At 33.7% G+C, this 16,210-nt stretch overlaps 1 protein-coding gene across 4 annotated transcripts in view; it reads right to left on the bottom strand.

Annotated features, from left to right (window-relative positions):
• Positions 1–16,210, bottom strand: part of MAN1A2 (mannosidase alpha class 1A member 2) — a 161,424-nt gene that overhangs the window by 27,948 nt on the left and 117,266 nt on the right. For 3 of the 4 annotated variants that reach the window (NM_006699.5, XM_006710302.4, XM_011540536.4), the window contains exons 9-11: positions 7,663–7,778; positions 3,943–4,162; positions 1,371–1,543 (exon numbers count right to left, since the gene is read on the bottom strand). In NM_006699.5, the coding sequence (NP_006690.1) occupies positions 1,371–1,543; positions 3,943–4,162; positions 7,663–7,778 (509 nt within the window). Of the gene's footprint in view, positions 1–1,370; positions 1,544–3,942; positions 4,163–7,661; positions 7,779–16,210 lie in introns of those variants that run through there. The other variant, XM_017000115.2, reaches the window with a different exon arrangement.

The following is a 16,210-nucleotide window of genomic DNA, read 5'->3' as shown; positions in this document are numbered from 1 at the left end:
GATTATTTTACCTATTTCCCTTACATGAAAGAGTGCTTAATTTACGGAAGCATTAGTAAGCCACTGCTAACAATAGAAGTGTGTGTGTATTCTATTCCCAAACCACTGTGGCAATAGTTTGGCTGTCTTCTCAACTGTGGCAGCACCCTCCTACACAGAGAATTTCACTAGTAGCTGTGCTCCCAATTCTGGAGCCAAGGGGCCAAGGAAAAGCAGCATCAATAAATGCTGCATCTGTTCCTGTCCTGTGTAACCACTTGTTTCCATTAATATGCTCTTATTGTTAAAGTCCAGCAGGACTATCTAGGTCTGAATGACAGGTGAAAAATAAGTGTACTCCCCTTAGTTCAAGATCTCACATTATTCCTAGGTTATGGCTGTGGTCTCCCAAACCCACCAATTTGTGGATTACAATCAGATCCTTTTGCTTTGTTACTCCCCACTGAAAAAAGCCTTCAGGAGTTCCTTCCCCCTTATAAAACATTTAGCAGTTCTGTAAGGAATTCTCAAAAGTCAAGGAGCTTTTGCAGGTAGAAGATGCTAAGGAAAAAAGAAAAGTAAGATCTGAAGGGCTTTTTGGATAAGCAAAGAACTTTCTGTTACCATTTCCCATATGACAGCACTTAACGCAGTAGCTGACAGAAGTAACTAAGAGAGTGTGTATTACGGGGAGGGAGTTGTGCACACGTCTTATTTCCTGAACAACTAAGAACCTTTGATTTGGTGTGTAAGGCTGTCTACATAATGGCTCCAATCTTCTCTCCCACTTTGCCACTGTGAAACGTTCGCTTTACATAAACTGGTATACATCTTGCCTTAAAATATATCTCATACATTCCTGTCTGGGCAATTTACCAGCACTACTGACCTCATTTGGGATGTCCTTAGTCATTCTATCTAGATTGTAAGCTTAAGTTAAACAATTTGAATACGAATAGTCACCATAATTAGTGCTATTTATCACAATTAGTAAATCTCAAAGAATAAAACAACCCCTTACCCTGGGAATAAGCTATACTTTCATAAAAGACTAATAGTTTTTTCCTCCCTAGGTACTGATAGCTATGGATTCCCTGAAAGACTTTAAGAGTAAACCACTTGCTTCCTTTACTTAACTAACCATTAAAAATTCCTCCTTTGAAATATATATATTTATATATTTTTAATATATTTTAATATATATTTAATATATATCGTAAGATTTATTTCTACTGCCCAGAAACTTAAATTGACTAAGAGTTTCTTCATCAGATAAATAAAAACTGCCCTACAGATACTAAAAATGAGGTAACATGGGTGAGGGTATGTGGCATCATAGGAGGGCATGAGTTAACACTCTTGCAGATAAAATGGAATATTGGCTTATTTACCAGTGCTGCTTCCCAGCCCCACTGCCTGTATCTTGGATCGTGAGTGAATCGCCATAGGTACCAATAGGTTTCAATTACTTCTGGACGGAGGATATAATACTTTTCAGCCTGCCGGACAGCCACAGCCTCCACTGCACCATCAAACTTGAATGATTCAGGACCTAGCTTTAATGCTGTAACATGACAAAAGAAATAACTGAGCAAAATAAACCATTTATGTTTGTTTGCAAGGACTTCTTTCTTCCCTGAAAGAACAGAATATGAAGTAATTTTTGTTGTTTATTTTTATTGTTGCTGTTTGCACTCAGTGCAAAATGAGTCATTTTAAAAGATCCACATTTGGTTTTCTTAAAATAGACTTATAAACATTCCTGTTATTCTAACATAAAATGTTTCTCAGAATAATGTGTATCAACATACTGCTAAATCTAATTCTACCAAAAAGAGTCTAGTAATCTTTTGGAAACAAATGCAAACTAGACATTTGCACATCATACAGTCCATTGTGGTCTAAAATAAAAGTATATAGATAATGACACTGTGTGGATGTTTTTTTTAAAGGCAAGGTAATTTTAAAGACATTTTGCCATAATACACACATATAAGGAAACATTTTAGAGCTTAGATTATGAATTGATTTAGTTGTAGATAATTACAGTATATATTTAGCTGGAATAACTACTAAGGAAAAATGAATGGATATTTTAAAATATGGTGGCCAAAAATTATAGCACAGCTATAAGAAAACACAGCAGAGGATATAATAACCTGCTGGAAAGTTAGCAAAACTAGGATTGTACTTTTTAATTAAAGGATCTAAATTGAGATTAAAGACAAGTAAAAACAACAGAAGACTTGAAAATACAGGACACAAATCAAATAATCATTTTTTGGTTTACCATAACAAAGAGGGTCATGGGTTCATCAACTTGCAATGTGAAAATGACAATCAGAACAAGAATCAGCATCAGCAATGTCATTATGAAACATTAAAATCAGAAATATAAGGAAATCCTTTCAAACTCTGGTACACTATGAATTTCTGAAAGGCAGGGAATGTATCTTGTTCATACTTTAACCTATAAGCATCTAGCATAATACTTGGCATATAATGGCTGTTCCCTGTTTCATGGAGTAAATATTTAATTATAGTAACTATGATATACCATATTTTAGAATGTATGCTATATGAAATTCAATTATTTTAGGTCTATTATTTGATTTTTGGTCAAAATCTGCAAAATAACAATCCTTATTCTCATGGATCCTAATATAAAATTGAATATCCATCCTGGTCCTCAATGTTTTACTAATTTTAGCTATATTTTAAGGCATAATTGGCATTCTGTATCAACACGATAATTTAATTTAGCCTCTATTTTGAACTCAGATCGCTGCCATTATATGTATTATACAACAACACTTAAACTACCCTAAAATAACACTACTTCACCGTCCTCTTGACTTATATTCTTTCAAGAAATGGAACCCTTATTTAGTTAATGAGAACTGAAGAATCAATTTTGCCATAAGTTTAATTCCTTACTGTATAAAAATAACTTGACAGATTTATGAACTAGCATAAATTTTAGGTCAATCATATTTGTTTCATGGTATCTGATGATAAATTAACCCTAAAACAGAAATTGTTATTTAATAAAATCAACAATTCAACTTCCGAAATCAAATAGAAATTTCTAGTTTTTTGGCTTTCAGGGAGCTCATTATCTATTACTTCATATAGAAACTCATGTTTTTAAAGCCAGAGAAAACCTTGGAAGGTCTAGTCCAGTGTTTTTCAGCCCCCTTTTCATTACTGCACCCCTAAGAAACCTTTTGTCTTTTTTAAAAAAGCCTAATTGCCTTCTCCCTCCATAAAATTTTAATACCAAATATATACTGTGTATCTATTTATGACTATATGTATATCTGTGCTTTATACATAAAAAGAGTAAAAATTTTCTCAGCCCCAACCAAAACAATTTTTGTCACCATTTAGGAATCATCTCCTTTTCCAAGTAAGGACACTGAAGTTCAGAAAATATTTGCCCAGTGCAATGTCAGAGGATCTTTTTAGTTAAAGCCATAAACAATTCCAAAAACTACTGGTGAACTAATTGAAAAACTACTAGTTAGCCAGATACCAATAAAGATAAATATTGTTATCTTTTGGTTATTCTTCTTATCACAAGAGGATAGGCAAGGCAATATAACTGAAGTCAGTCAATTTTATGTTCTTTTAAGTAACTGTTTTTATAGAAGCTGAAATGGCAAAAATAGATTCTTATATTAAAAGTTATTCCATATATTCCCAAATACCCCACGATTCTTGTCTTTAAAACAATTACTTCAAAATCTTTAACAGAAACAGCAGCAGAATTCAGAATTTAAAAAATAATGCAGAGACACATTTCCAGAATTAAAATTCAAGTTCTTAAGAAAATGATTTGCCTTGTTGGTGTAAACTATTTGGAAGTAAAAAGTGCCTATATATTCTCCTTCTTATTGCTGAACACATTTTTAACTTAGAGATTATTTTAGACTATATAATTAGCCTTATTAATATTCTTACCAGTTCTGTCATATGACTCATGACAAGTACGTGCAATTTCTGCCCCTAGCTCTAAATAATGACCAGCTTTATCTGCTCTGGAACCATCTGCTCCTAGTGCAAACATTCCCCCAGCAAAGCAGGCCAAATGCCCCATCTTTTTTTCCAAGTGCCCATTCTTCCATTCTCCAATAAAGGTAAGACCTCCACGAGACTTCTTAATAAGATGTTTTTCTATAGCCTACAGGAAAGAAAAGATATTCAAAATTTTAGATGCAAACTATTAGTGTTCAAACTTACTATATCCTTCTGGCCATTATAAAACCTGGGTAATATGATAGTCTATAAAGTAGTAACTTTCCCAAACTGAGACTTAATTAACAGCAAGTGTCGGAGTGGGTGATCAAATTGCATATAATCTGGAACCAATATCTGAATCACTACCATAATAAGACAGAGTGGAAGAGGAGAGACTTGGCCTAAAGATTACCTTCTACATAATATTATCTTTAGTCCCTTACTTCTCAAATTTAGGCATTTGTTTTGGATGCTTTGTCATGGATAAGAGAAGCCATATTATAAACACTGTCTACCCTACTGGAACATACATTTTTCTCAAAAGATGTAGGAATGGTGAGAGAAATAGTCTATATTAAACTTGAGTATATCAGAGTATAACAATCACATTTCAGTTTTAAAATGAGATTTTCAAGAGCTTTGCTCCTTTGGAATATGTTCTTAGACTTTGCTGAGATGAGCTATTTTCTACCTTTAGAGGTATTTCTATGGAAAAGTATAAGCAATGGCCATTAACTCAGTTTTCTTTAGTAGAAACTATTATACATGATTAGTGGTTAACTTTTCTTTCTGAAAAAAGAGTATTTTTACTGTCAGTTGTTCTCTGACAAGTTTAGTAACAATCAGCCTTGGAAAATTTTACTCTGTATTCTCCATAATAATAATGTGAGTTTAACAGAACTGGAGTGACTATGTCTTACTCATCACCTGTATTCCAGAAGGCATATAATGTAGTGTGCACTCAATACATGTTTAATTATTAAGTAATTTCATAAATGAATGGTGCTCTTAGATAATTGTATTTGATGTTGGGGAATGAGAGGTGGCTGATAACCAAAATGATAATTATCTTTGGATTATAAGTTTTTGTCATTGTTTTAACCATAGCACTCTGAAGCACAAAAAGATTAGTTTTTTGAGTATGGGGTGGTATTTTTCATCTTTTTGAACCTCATGATAGTACCATGTTTTCCACATATAAGGTATTCCAAAAATGCCTAAAGATGGTATCCATATGTTTGTCATTTCTGTTCATTGTAACCTAAATCTTACCATATTACAATTAAAAGATATCCAAGCATATCCACCTGGACTTACTAGAACTAAAGTAAAAGGCAGTCAGTTAGGGCTTTTTACCAATAATTTTAAAAGAAAGTAGAAACAAAGAATATGGGTATCTGTAAGGATAGGGGAAGGTAGGAGGGGTATGGAATAATTTAAGTAAAATAGCTCAGAAAGACAAAGTTTAAAAATAATGTATTTCAAATTACAATGAGTCTTAAGTGGTCATTCCTATCTCTTTCATACATTCCATATGTCATTTATTTTATAATACGCTAATAGAATAGTTTTTGAAAATAATTAACACTGCAAAGACTGCATACTTGAGATCATGTCTCAAAGTGAAAGCTGATCAACTGTTATTAAAAAACATTTATTAGGTACCTATTCTTGATTTAATAAACTAATAAAACTAATAAAAACAGGGAAAAGAAAGCAAGTACAGAAATATTTACAAGATACATAACATATAGCAGATGATTCATGAAAAATAGTGTGAATTTATAAGGTTAACTTTCAAAGCAGTTATCATGCCTTTCAAAGCATGTATGATTAAAAAAAACAATGACAAATACAATTTTTTTCCTTTGGAAAAAATTAAGCAAAAGTCAAAATAGTTTTAAAGAAAATTACAAGAAAACAGACAAAATTAATTTATTACATGGTATATGATATATCACATGTTCTCAAATATAATATTAAATATATTCATGCATTTATCAAATACTACGGAATACTTATTATGTTTCAAGTATTGTGCTAGGTGCTGAGATAATGATAAATAAATTAGTCTCTGCCCTCAAAGGAGGCCACAGTCTAGTGGGAATTACTAAGAGCTATTTTCAACAATATGGTTCTAAGAATATTAAATTCTTCCCAGATAATAACCCATCTTGGATCATACAACTTTCTACGTTTAAATTTTAATAAAAGAGAATAAAGTTCTCCTACTAAAATTTATATTCTTGGTTGTACCTTTAGTTCAATTTATTATTTAACACAATATCTCAATAAACACTTGTTGAGTACCTATAATGGGCAAAACACTGTGAGCCACATATTAAGTTCAACTCCTGTGCATTTTTTAAAAACAATTGTAACAAATTATGTGCCTGAACAGTAGGGATATAAAATGGATAAGATTCTTGGTTTAATGAAAAAAACAAACCAAACAGAAATTATAACTCTGACAACTAATTACTGACTACATCAGCAGAGTTGTTATATACAAAATATACAACTTTTAAAAAATAACTAAAATTGTTAAGTGGGTATCAGTTTATAATAGAGCAGGAAGCTAATAACCTGCTAAACACACTTAACACACTTCTGACTTACTTTTCTATTTCACAGTTTTTTCTTAGAAATACTCCATATAAATTCTTCCTAGAATGAATCTTGTTCCAATTATAAACTGTCACAATATCATGGTATGAAGTCATTTAAATATGAAACAATATAATACAGTGGTTAAAAACACTGGCTCGGCAGCCAGACTGTTCAGTTCCACGCCCCATCAATTACCAGCAATGCAACCTTCAGCAAGTTACTTTAACTTCATTGTTCCTTAAGGTCCTCATGTGTAAAATGGTGATAATGATTAAATGATCTCATATATGTAAGAAGGGTTAGAACAGTGCCTGGCATGTAGAAAATACTATATAAGTGTGTTGTCATTATTTAAGTATTTACCCATAAGGCTCTCAATGTGTAGATTCAAGGGTTCATTTGAAAGAAAAATGTTTATGAAAATGTATATAAAGTCAGAAGTTTTTCCAGTCTCTGTAAACATTAACTAAAAGTAAATAAAATCAATTTTCATGAATACACTAAAATAAATTCTTATTTTATTTTATTTATTGTTGACACGGAGTCTCGCTCTGTCACCCAGGCTGGAGTACAATGATGAGATCTCAGCTCACTGCAACCTCTGCCTTCCAGGTTCAAGCGATTCTACTGCCGCAGCCTCCCAAGTAGCTGGGACTACAGGCATGCACCACCATGCCCAGCTAATTTTTGTATTTTTAGTAGAGATGGGTTTTCACCATGTTGGCCAGGCTGGTCTTGAACTCCTGACCTCAAGTGATCTGCCTACCACAGCCTCCCAAAGTGCTGAGATTACAGGCGTGAGCCACTGCACCTGGACTACAATAAATTCTTTCTTCAAAAATTTCTTTAAAAATGTCACAAATAAAAGAAGACTTAATATGAGGCTTTTCTATTAAAATAGTAACAAACTCTACAGTGAATGCATATAATAAAATGTTTGTATGTATTTACTGAATGTCTATAATAAAATGGTTATAAGATATTCATCTAGTCACTACAAAATACACTGTACATTCAATCCATTAAGTAGAAAAATGTTCTGGAAATAATCACCTCAATAGCATCATCATACATCTTTCTTGCCTCATGGTCTGTTTTATCTGACATCAACCATGCTTTCAGTAAGTATTCATAAAAACTGTCTCCCAGGCCACCGACAGATGTATGATCTGTAACAAAGGAGAAAACAGAAGGATAGAGGTAAAGGCAAGGGAAGACAAGACAAATAAAGTAACATTTTCAATTATAATGACTATGTTAGAGGTCAATAATTTTAAAATTACATTGACAACCCTATTTCCAACATACTTCAAATTTAGTCCCAGAAGTAATCACACATAATCACTTTCCTCTATATGTGTATCCAATTTGCTAGAAAATCTTTTTTCTCTGGATGTGGTGCTTCACATACTTAGTAGTCTTTTTCTTGAATTACAGTTTGTTCACTGTCATAGAGCCAAACTTTTCCAGAATTGATAATTACCTTTTATATATTAATAGCTTTAAATAAATAAGTTATGTCTAAATATGAAAGCTCAACTTAAAGCTGATGTTAAGCAAAAAGAGCTCACTCTTAGACATGTTCCTATACAATGGTTAATGGTAATTCCTAAGCCAAAGATAATAAATTAAAATACATCTACAAAAAGAAAAAAAGCCCAAGAATTCCTTTATAATATCACCTTGTATAACATAAGTAGCTGTTGACTTGCTCCCCTTGATTACTATTCATACAAATTTTAGTACACACAGGCATACCTCAGAGATACTGCAAGTTTGTTTCCAGACTACTGCAATGTAGCAAATATTGCAACAAAGTGAGTCACACAAACTTTTTGGTTTCCCAGTAGTTATAAAAGTTGTGTTGACAGCACTATATTTAAATAAACAATGTTCAAATCTTAATTTTAAAAATACTTTATTGCTAAAAATGCAAATGATCTGAGGCTTTCAGCAAGTCATACTCTTTTTTGATGGTGGAGGGTCTTGCCTTGATGATAATGGTTGCTGACTGATCAGGGTGGTGGCTGCTGAAGGCTGGGGTGGCTGGGGCAATTTCTTAAAATGAGACAACAATAAAGTCTGCTGTATTGATTGATTCTTCCTGTTTGATTTCTCTGCAGGACGAAAGATCTCTCTGTAGCTTGTGGTGCTGTTTGATAGCATTTTGTCCACAGTAAAAATTCTTTCAAACTTGGAGGCCACTCTCATATCCTGACACTGCTGCATCAACTAAATTTACGTAGTATTCTAAATCCTTATTGTCATTTCGACAATGTTCACAGCTTCTTCACCAGGAGTAGATTCCATCTCAAGAAACCATCTTCTTTGCTCATCTGTTAAGAAGCAACTCCTCATCCATTCAAGTCTTATCATAAGACTGCAGTAACTCAGTCCTATCTTCAGGCCCCACTTCTAATTCTGGTTCTCTTGCTATTTCCACCACATCTACAGTTACTTCCTCCACTTGAGTTTGAACCCCTCAAAATCACCCATGAGGACTGGAATCAAATTCTTCCAAACTCCTGTTAATGTTCATACTTTGACCTCCTCCCATGAATCACAAATGTTCTTAATGGTATCTAGAATAGTGACTCCTTTCCCGAAGGTTTTCCATTTACTTTGCTGAGATCTGACAGAGGAATCACTATATATGGCAGCTATAGCCTTACAAAATGCAATCCTTAAATAAGACTTGAGAGTCTGAATCACTCTTTGACCCATGGGCTACAGAATGGATGTTGTTAGCAGGCATGAAACCAACATTAATCTCCTTGGGCATCTTCACTGCAGAAAATGGTGATCAGGTGCATTGTCAATGAGCAGTAATATTTTGAAAGAGATCTTTTTTGCTTAGCAGTTCTCAACAGTGTGCTTAAAATATTCAGTAAACTCTGCCATCAACAGATGTGCTCTCAACTGAACTTTGTTGTTCCATTTACAGACCACACAGGGAGTAGATGTAACAAAATTCTTAGAGGCCCTAGGATTTTCAGAATGGTAAATGAGCACTGACTTCAAATTAAAATCAACAGCTGCATTAGCCCCCAACAAGAGTCAGCCCGTCCTTGAAAGCCAAGCATTGACTTCTCTTCATCTATGAGATGGCATCTTCTTCCAGTAGAAACCTGTTCCATCTACATTGAAAATCTGTTGTTTAGTGTAGCTGCCTTCATCAATTAACTTAGTTAGATCTTCTGGAAAAAAAAAATCTTCTGGATCACTTGCTGCAGTTTTTCCATCAGCATTTGCTGCTTCACCTGTCACCTTTATGTTTTGGAGGCAGCTTCCTTCTTTAAACCTCATAAACCAACCTCTGTAAGCCTCAAACTCTTCTCCTACAGCTTCCTCACCTCTCTTAGCATTCACAGAATTGAAGAGAGCTAGAGCCTTGCTCTGGATGATGCTTTGGCTTCAGGGAATGTTGTAGCTGGTTTGGTCTGAATGGTACCCAGACCATTCAGACTTTTCCCATGCCTGCAATATGGCTATTTTGTTTTCTCATTATTCATGTGTTCACTGGCATAGCATTTTTAATTTCCTTCAAGAACTTTTCCTTTCCTTTCACAATCTGCCTAACTGGTGCAAGAGGCTTAGCCTTTGGCCTCTCTTGGCTTTTGACATGCCTTCCTCACTAAGCTTAATTACATCTAGCTTTTGATGTAAAGTGAGAGACATATGACTCTTTTACTTGGAATATTTAGAGGCCATTGAAAGATTAATATTGATGCATACTAGGTGTACATTATAGGGTTATTAACTGGCCTTATATTAATATTGTTGTCTTTCAAAGAATAGGGAGACCAAAGGAGAGAGACAGGGAAATGGCTAGTTGGTAGAGCAGTCAGAACACACACAACATAATTTATTAAGTTTGTCATTTTCTATGGGTGCTGTTCATGCTGCCCAAAACAAACACAATAATAATATCAAAGATCACTGATTACGGATCACTATAACATACATAATACTAAGGAAAAAATTTGAAATATTGCAAGAATTACCAAAATGTGACCCAGAGACACAAAGCGAACACATGCTGTCAAAAAAATGATGCTGACGGATTTGCTCAGCACAGGGTAATCACAAATCTGCAATTTGCAAACACACACACACACACCAAACCCTGCAATATCTGTGAAGTGCAGTAAAGCAAAGCATATAGCTAAGCATATAAACATATGGGTATGCCTATATTTGTTTGTCCTAGATATATTCTTACTTCATCCCACCTATACTTTTAAACCTATCCAATTTGACACTACAGCTCCCAAGGCAACCACACTCCTTTATCCTGGATTTTCTACAAACCCTGCCCTATATCCTTGAACTCTGCTTCAAAACTGACATCCTCCTCTCTGCATTAAAAAAAAAAAAAGTACATTTCTTATAACCCTCATTCACTCATACAGTAATATCCCTGGTTTTTAAATTGGTGAGGAAAAGACAGATTATTCAGTGATTTATGGCAAAAACTGGCTATCCATTATGGGAAAGAAAAAGCATATTAATATTCATATATTTAGCTCACAAAACACACTTGTGGATGATTAATCATTTAAAAGTAAAATGCAAAAGAATAAGTTTCCAGAACAAAATATAAGAACATATCTGGTCTTCCCAAGTAAATGATCTTAAGCGAAATACAAAATGAAGGAGTCATAAAGGAAAAATGGATAGCTTCGTACGTTAAAGCTAAAAGACAAATAAATCTAAAAGACTAGAAATTGGAGAAGAAATGTGCAACATACGTAACAAGAAAAGGATTACTCTCATAAACGACGACTCCTGACAAATAAGGAAAATTAAAATAGGGTACACACAACAAAAAAAGAAACATCAATTTATAATTAACATAAGAAAGGATGCCCAATTTCACTAGTGATCAGAAAAAGGCAAATTAAAACAGTGAGATTCCATTTTTGTCCATTAGATCAGTGAACATTTTAAAAGACTGATAATATCCAATGTTGGCAAGATTATGGTTCCCAGTTGTTGAAACTGAAGGACAATTTTGCAGAAGCTAACAAAATTTAACCTAGGAATTGTACTTCTGGAATTATCCTATAACAATATTTGCAGAAATATACAAATATAAATGTAAAAGAACTTAATCAGAATTATTTTCATTAATAAAAAACTAAAGATAACCTGAAATGTTTAGGGAGGAGGCTAAGTTACGATATAAACGTACTATGGAGGACTGCACAATCATTAAAGAGAATCAGGGTGAATCTATAATCCAACACTGCAAGATATCTATTATATGCTGTTGAGTGGGCAGAAGGAGCAAATTTCAGAATTATCTATATAGTTTGATACTTCTCAAAATGTGTTTTTAAAGAATGTTGGTGTATACATAGAAAAGATTTGATCTCAAACTCCTGGGCTAAGCGATGCTCTAAGGAAGGAGCCCTTCAATTTTAACTTTAGACACTTACAATTATCTAAATACATGTAACTTATATAATTAAAAATCATCTTTCGTTGTAGAAAGTAATAAATGGGGGAAAAGAGCTATCATTCACCTTAAGCAGTATGTCTGCTAATATTCCCATAATTCACTTTTACCTCATCTCAAATGCTATTACTTCTCACTTTTTTTAATTTAATGCTAAGTGTATAATTTTGATGTTTACACATGTATATACCAACAAAGCCACAACCAAGATAAAACTATAGTACATTTCTGGCATCATAAAAGTTTTCCTCATGTGGCCTTCACAGTCAATACCTAATGACACCATTTTTTTCTAATTTCTATTATCACCATAAATTTGTTTTGCCAGGTTTTGAACACTATATAAAATGGCCATTTGCAGCCGGGTATGGTGGCTCACGCCTGCAATCCCAGCACTTTGGGAGGCCGAGGTGATCAGATCACTTGAGGTCAGGAGTTCCATACCAGCCTGGCCAACATGGTGAAACTCCATCTCTACTAAAAATACAAAAATTAGCCAGGCATGGTGGTGCACCCCTGTAATCCCAGCTACTTGGGAGGCTGAGGCATGAGAATACCTTGAACCCAGGAGGCAGAAGTTGCAACACTGCACTCCAGCCTGGGCAATAACGTGAGACTCTGTCTCAAGAAAAAAAAAAAAAGCCATTTGCTTTCAACTAAGATTAATGATATTCTTTATTTTCCATCTAAATATCTAAAAGGACACCTCTGCTTTATGAAAGCTTCCTGAATGTCAAACATTAAGTGGCTGGGTATTACAGAAGTCACTTGGAGGAGTAGAAGACAGGGCAATAATAAGATGTCTTATTCTACATTTCAGATAGAACAAGAAATTCACAATTAAATTTTGAATAGCTTTCCATACTCATCATACTTACATTAATAATTTTATAAGGATGGTAATGTATGATGGATTTATACAATAGATTATAGTTAGAAGCTAAATTAATTCTAACAAATTGACACATTTTATAATCACAAAAAAATCATAAAAGTTAACACATAACTTGTAAAATATTAAAACAATACAGAAATGAATAGAGTAGATAGGGAGAGTCCCTTATACTTAATGGGCATTTGGGATGGGGTAAAGGTTAGTGGTACCTTTTCAGCACATTTTTTGGTAATAAACAAGAGAGCAGTGATTTTACATTTTAACTATTTTGAAATATGTATATATCAAAACAACTATGACAAAATATTCCCATCAATATTACAACATCTATTTTGCGGTTATGTTAAAATGTCTTGACTCATTCAGTGACGCTACCATTTTATCAGCTGCCCAGTCTTTTCTTAGACATCAACTGCGTAAAATCATGCTACATTTTAGTTGTCCTTATGTTTTAACTATGACTTTCTTGTATAGCTTTTAGTTTTCTCCAGATTTTCTAACTGGTTTCCTATTGTCTCCCATCACTTTCCCTAATCATTTATTGTATCCTAGCCTATCAACCATGTTACTTATACTGAGTCACCCCTCCCTCCTTACTCCGCTAGAGACCTTCCTCCCAATCTGGTCATTTTCTAGGGATACTCCACAGCTGTCATCTTGCCACTTCTCTTTTCTTGCTTTCCAGAGTTATGCCTATTGCTTCTTCAGTCCTAAGTCTTTGTCTACACCTGTTTTACTGAATCACATTCTGAAATAACTTCCCACAAAAGTGTGTGGGATGCAAACCCTTTCATCCGAAAATGTCATTGCTATGCTCTCTCACTTAATTTTATTTCATACGGGTATCAAATTTAAGGTTGGAAATAATTTTCCCCCAGAGCTTCTTGAAAGTACCATTCCAATACCTTCTAACATCCAGTATAATTGATAAGAAATCTGATGTTATTTTTAATAGGCTTAATATGTTCCCAATCTTACTTACTCACACTCAGCTCTCTTCTCCAAGGTTTAGAATCTTCACTTAAACACTGATTAAATTTAGGTATAGTCTTTTTTTTATTTGTTTGTTCTTACAGTCATTGTGCTAGGTACAATGTGCTAGGTACAAACTAAAGATCAGTATCTTTCAGCTCTGGGAAAAATCTTTTCTACTATTTCTTTGATATTTTCTGTACTCCACTTTCTCAGTTATCTCCTCTGAAACGCTCATTAATTGGAAATTGAACCTCCTGGACTGAGTTTCTATTATTTTCTCTCAAATTTTAGTCCTTTATTCTCCCTGTATATTCCAGGAACTTTATTAAATCAATTTTATCTTTAGTCTCTTCACTGAAGCTTTAATGTCAGCAATCATACTTTTAATCTGAACTCTTTTTTCATTCTCTAATTGCTTCCTTTTCATAGCATCCTATTTTTACTCTATGAATATAACTTCTCCGAGTTATTTGACTAAAGTGGAGAATTAAAAATGTTTATAGAATTGTCTGTCTCCTGTGGGATCCCTTTTTTGACTATATTTTTACTGTGAAATTTAACATGTATACAGAAAAGCATATAAAACATAAATGTTCTCCTTATTATAGAGAATACTTGTATAACCCACAGTCAGAACAATACCTTCCATGTATCCCACAAAATCATAATTCCCACCCACCAAAAAAGTAACCAATATCTTAACTTTTGGGGTAACTACTTCTTTGAATTTTTAATACATTTACCATCTGATACCCTCTCCCAAGTACTATGAGCTTATTTTGCCTATTGGTATATTTAATATATTAATTAAATGTAACCGTATTGTCATGTCCAGCTTCTATAGCTCAAGATTCAACCATGTTGTTATATGTAACTATGTATCATTTATTTGCATTTCTGTATGTTATCCCACTGTAGTAGTCAACCATTATTTAATTATCCGTGCTTAAGAATAAAGTTCTGGGTAGCTAGTGTGGGTTTCCTCTACTGAATAGCAGGTGTTCCTCCACTGAGTAGACCTAATTGTCACTAATTCTATCCCCTGAGTGGGAATACTGACTGGCTGCTTTCTATGTAGAATACTTTGAGGAAGGATGGGCTAACTGGTAGGCTTTGTTTCAGAATCAGGAATGGATATTGAGGGACTGTGGACCTGGTTAAATTTCACAATGAAGGGAGACTTTATTTTGGGAAACTAACATCCATATTGAAAGCTTTAACTTTCCTCAATGAAATCATGTGATTTTTTAAAAAAGAGGGCTGTATAGTTATTCTAGTGGTAAATACCAGGGATGGAGGTGGAACATAAGGATTTCAGGTAGAGCCCATGTTCCACATAACGACCTTGAATAAATATCTGGTTTTTGCTGTACTTTGAATATATTTGTTTACTGGTATCTATTGTTTATGAACCCAAAATCTCTCTGGGATTCCATCAGTTACCTTTCCTGTAGTCCCTCTGTAGCCATTCCCAGCCACTCTATGTTCTGCAAATTTGTTGAAATATCTTGTCCATTATTACCTCCCCCTTGCCTTCAAATCTTTTTATTATTATGAGTTTATGCCTATTTATAAATATTTATCTACTTTCATTTCATTATGGTCTCAAGAAAGATGAATGGCCACAGTGGTGACGTTATAGTTCAATCTTCTTCCATGAAGCAGAAGTACTACTATAACCTTATCAAGTTCACTACTTCTTTGATAACTGCAATTAGTTAATACTATACATGCTTAACTTCTTATTCCTCTGTCTCATAATCTGCTCCCATTGTTTGTCCTATCATGAATAAAAACCAAAGCACATGGAAGCTAAAGGAATCTTGGTTTAATTCCTGTATTTATTTATGGCATGGAACTTGTAAGTTTATAACCACTTTGTTATTCAAGATGATTTTACATAGAAAACCTTTTTAAAATGTGTTGCACAGAAAAACCTTTGAAAAATCATAAAACATTTAACCCTTGAACACAGATTTGAACTGCGTGGATCCACTTACACGTGAATTTTTAAAAATAAATATATTGAAATTATCTTTAAGATTTGCAACAATGTGGAAAAACATATAGACAAGCCACATGGCCTAGAAATAGAGAAAATATTAAGAAAGAGTTGAGTGTGTCACGAATGAATAACATATGTGTAGATACTAGTCTATTTTACCATTTAGTATCATGAAATACAAATCTATTATAAAAAGTTAAAATGTATTAAAACTTACATATACACAGACATACATGGTGCCATTGATAGTCAAGAGAAATGTAAA

The sequence above is a fragment of the Homo sapiens genome, chromosome 1, assembly GCF_000001405.40.
Source record: "Homo sapiens chromosome 1, GRCh38.p14 Primary Assembly".
Taxonomy (NCBI): domain Eukaryota; kingdom Metazoa; phylum Chordata; class Mammalia; order Primates; family Hominidae; genus Homo; species Homo sapiens.
This window is presented reverse-complemented; position numbering and strand designations above follow the sequence as displayed.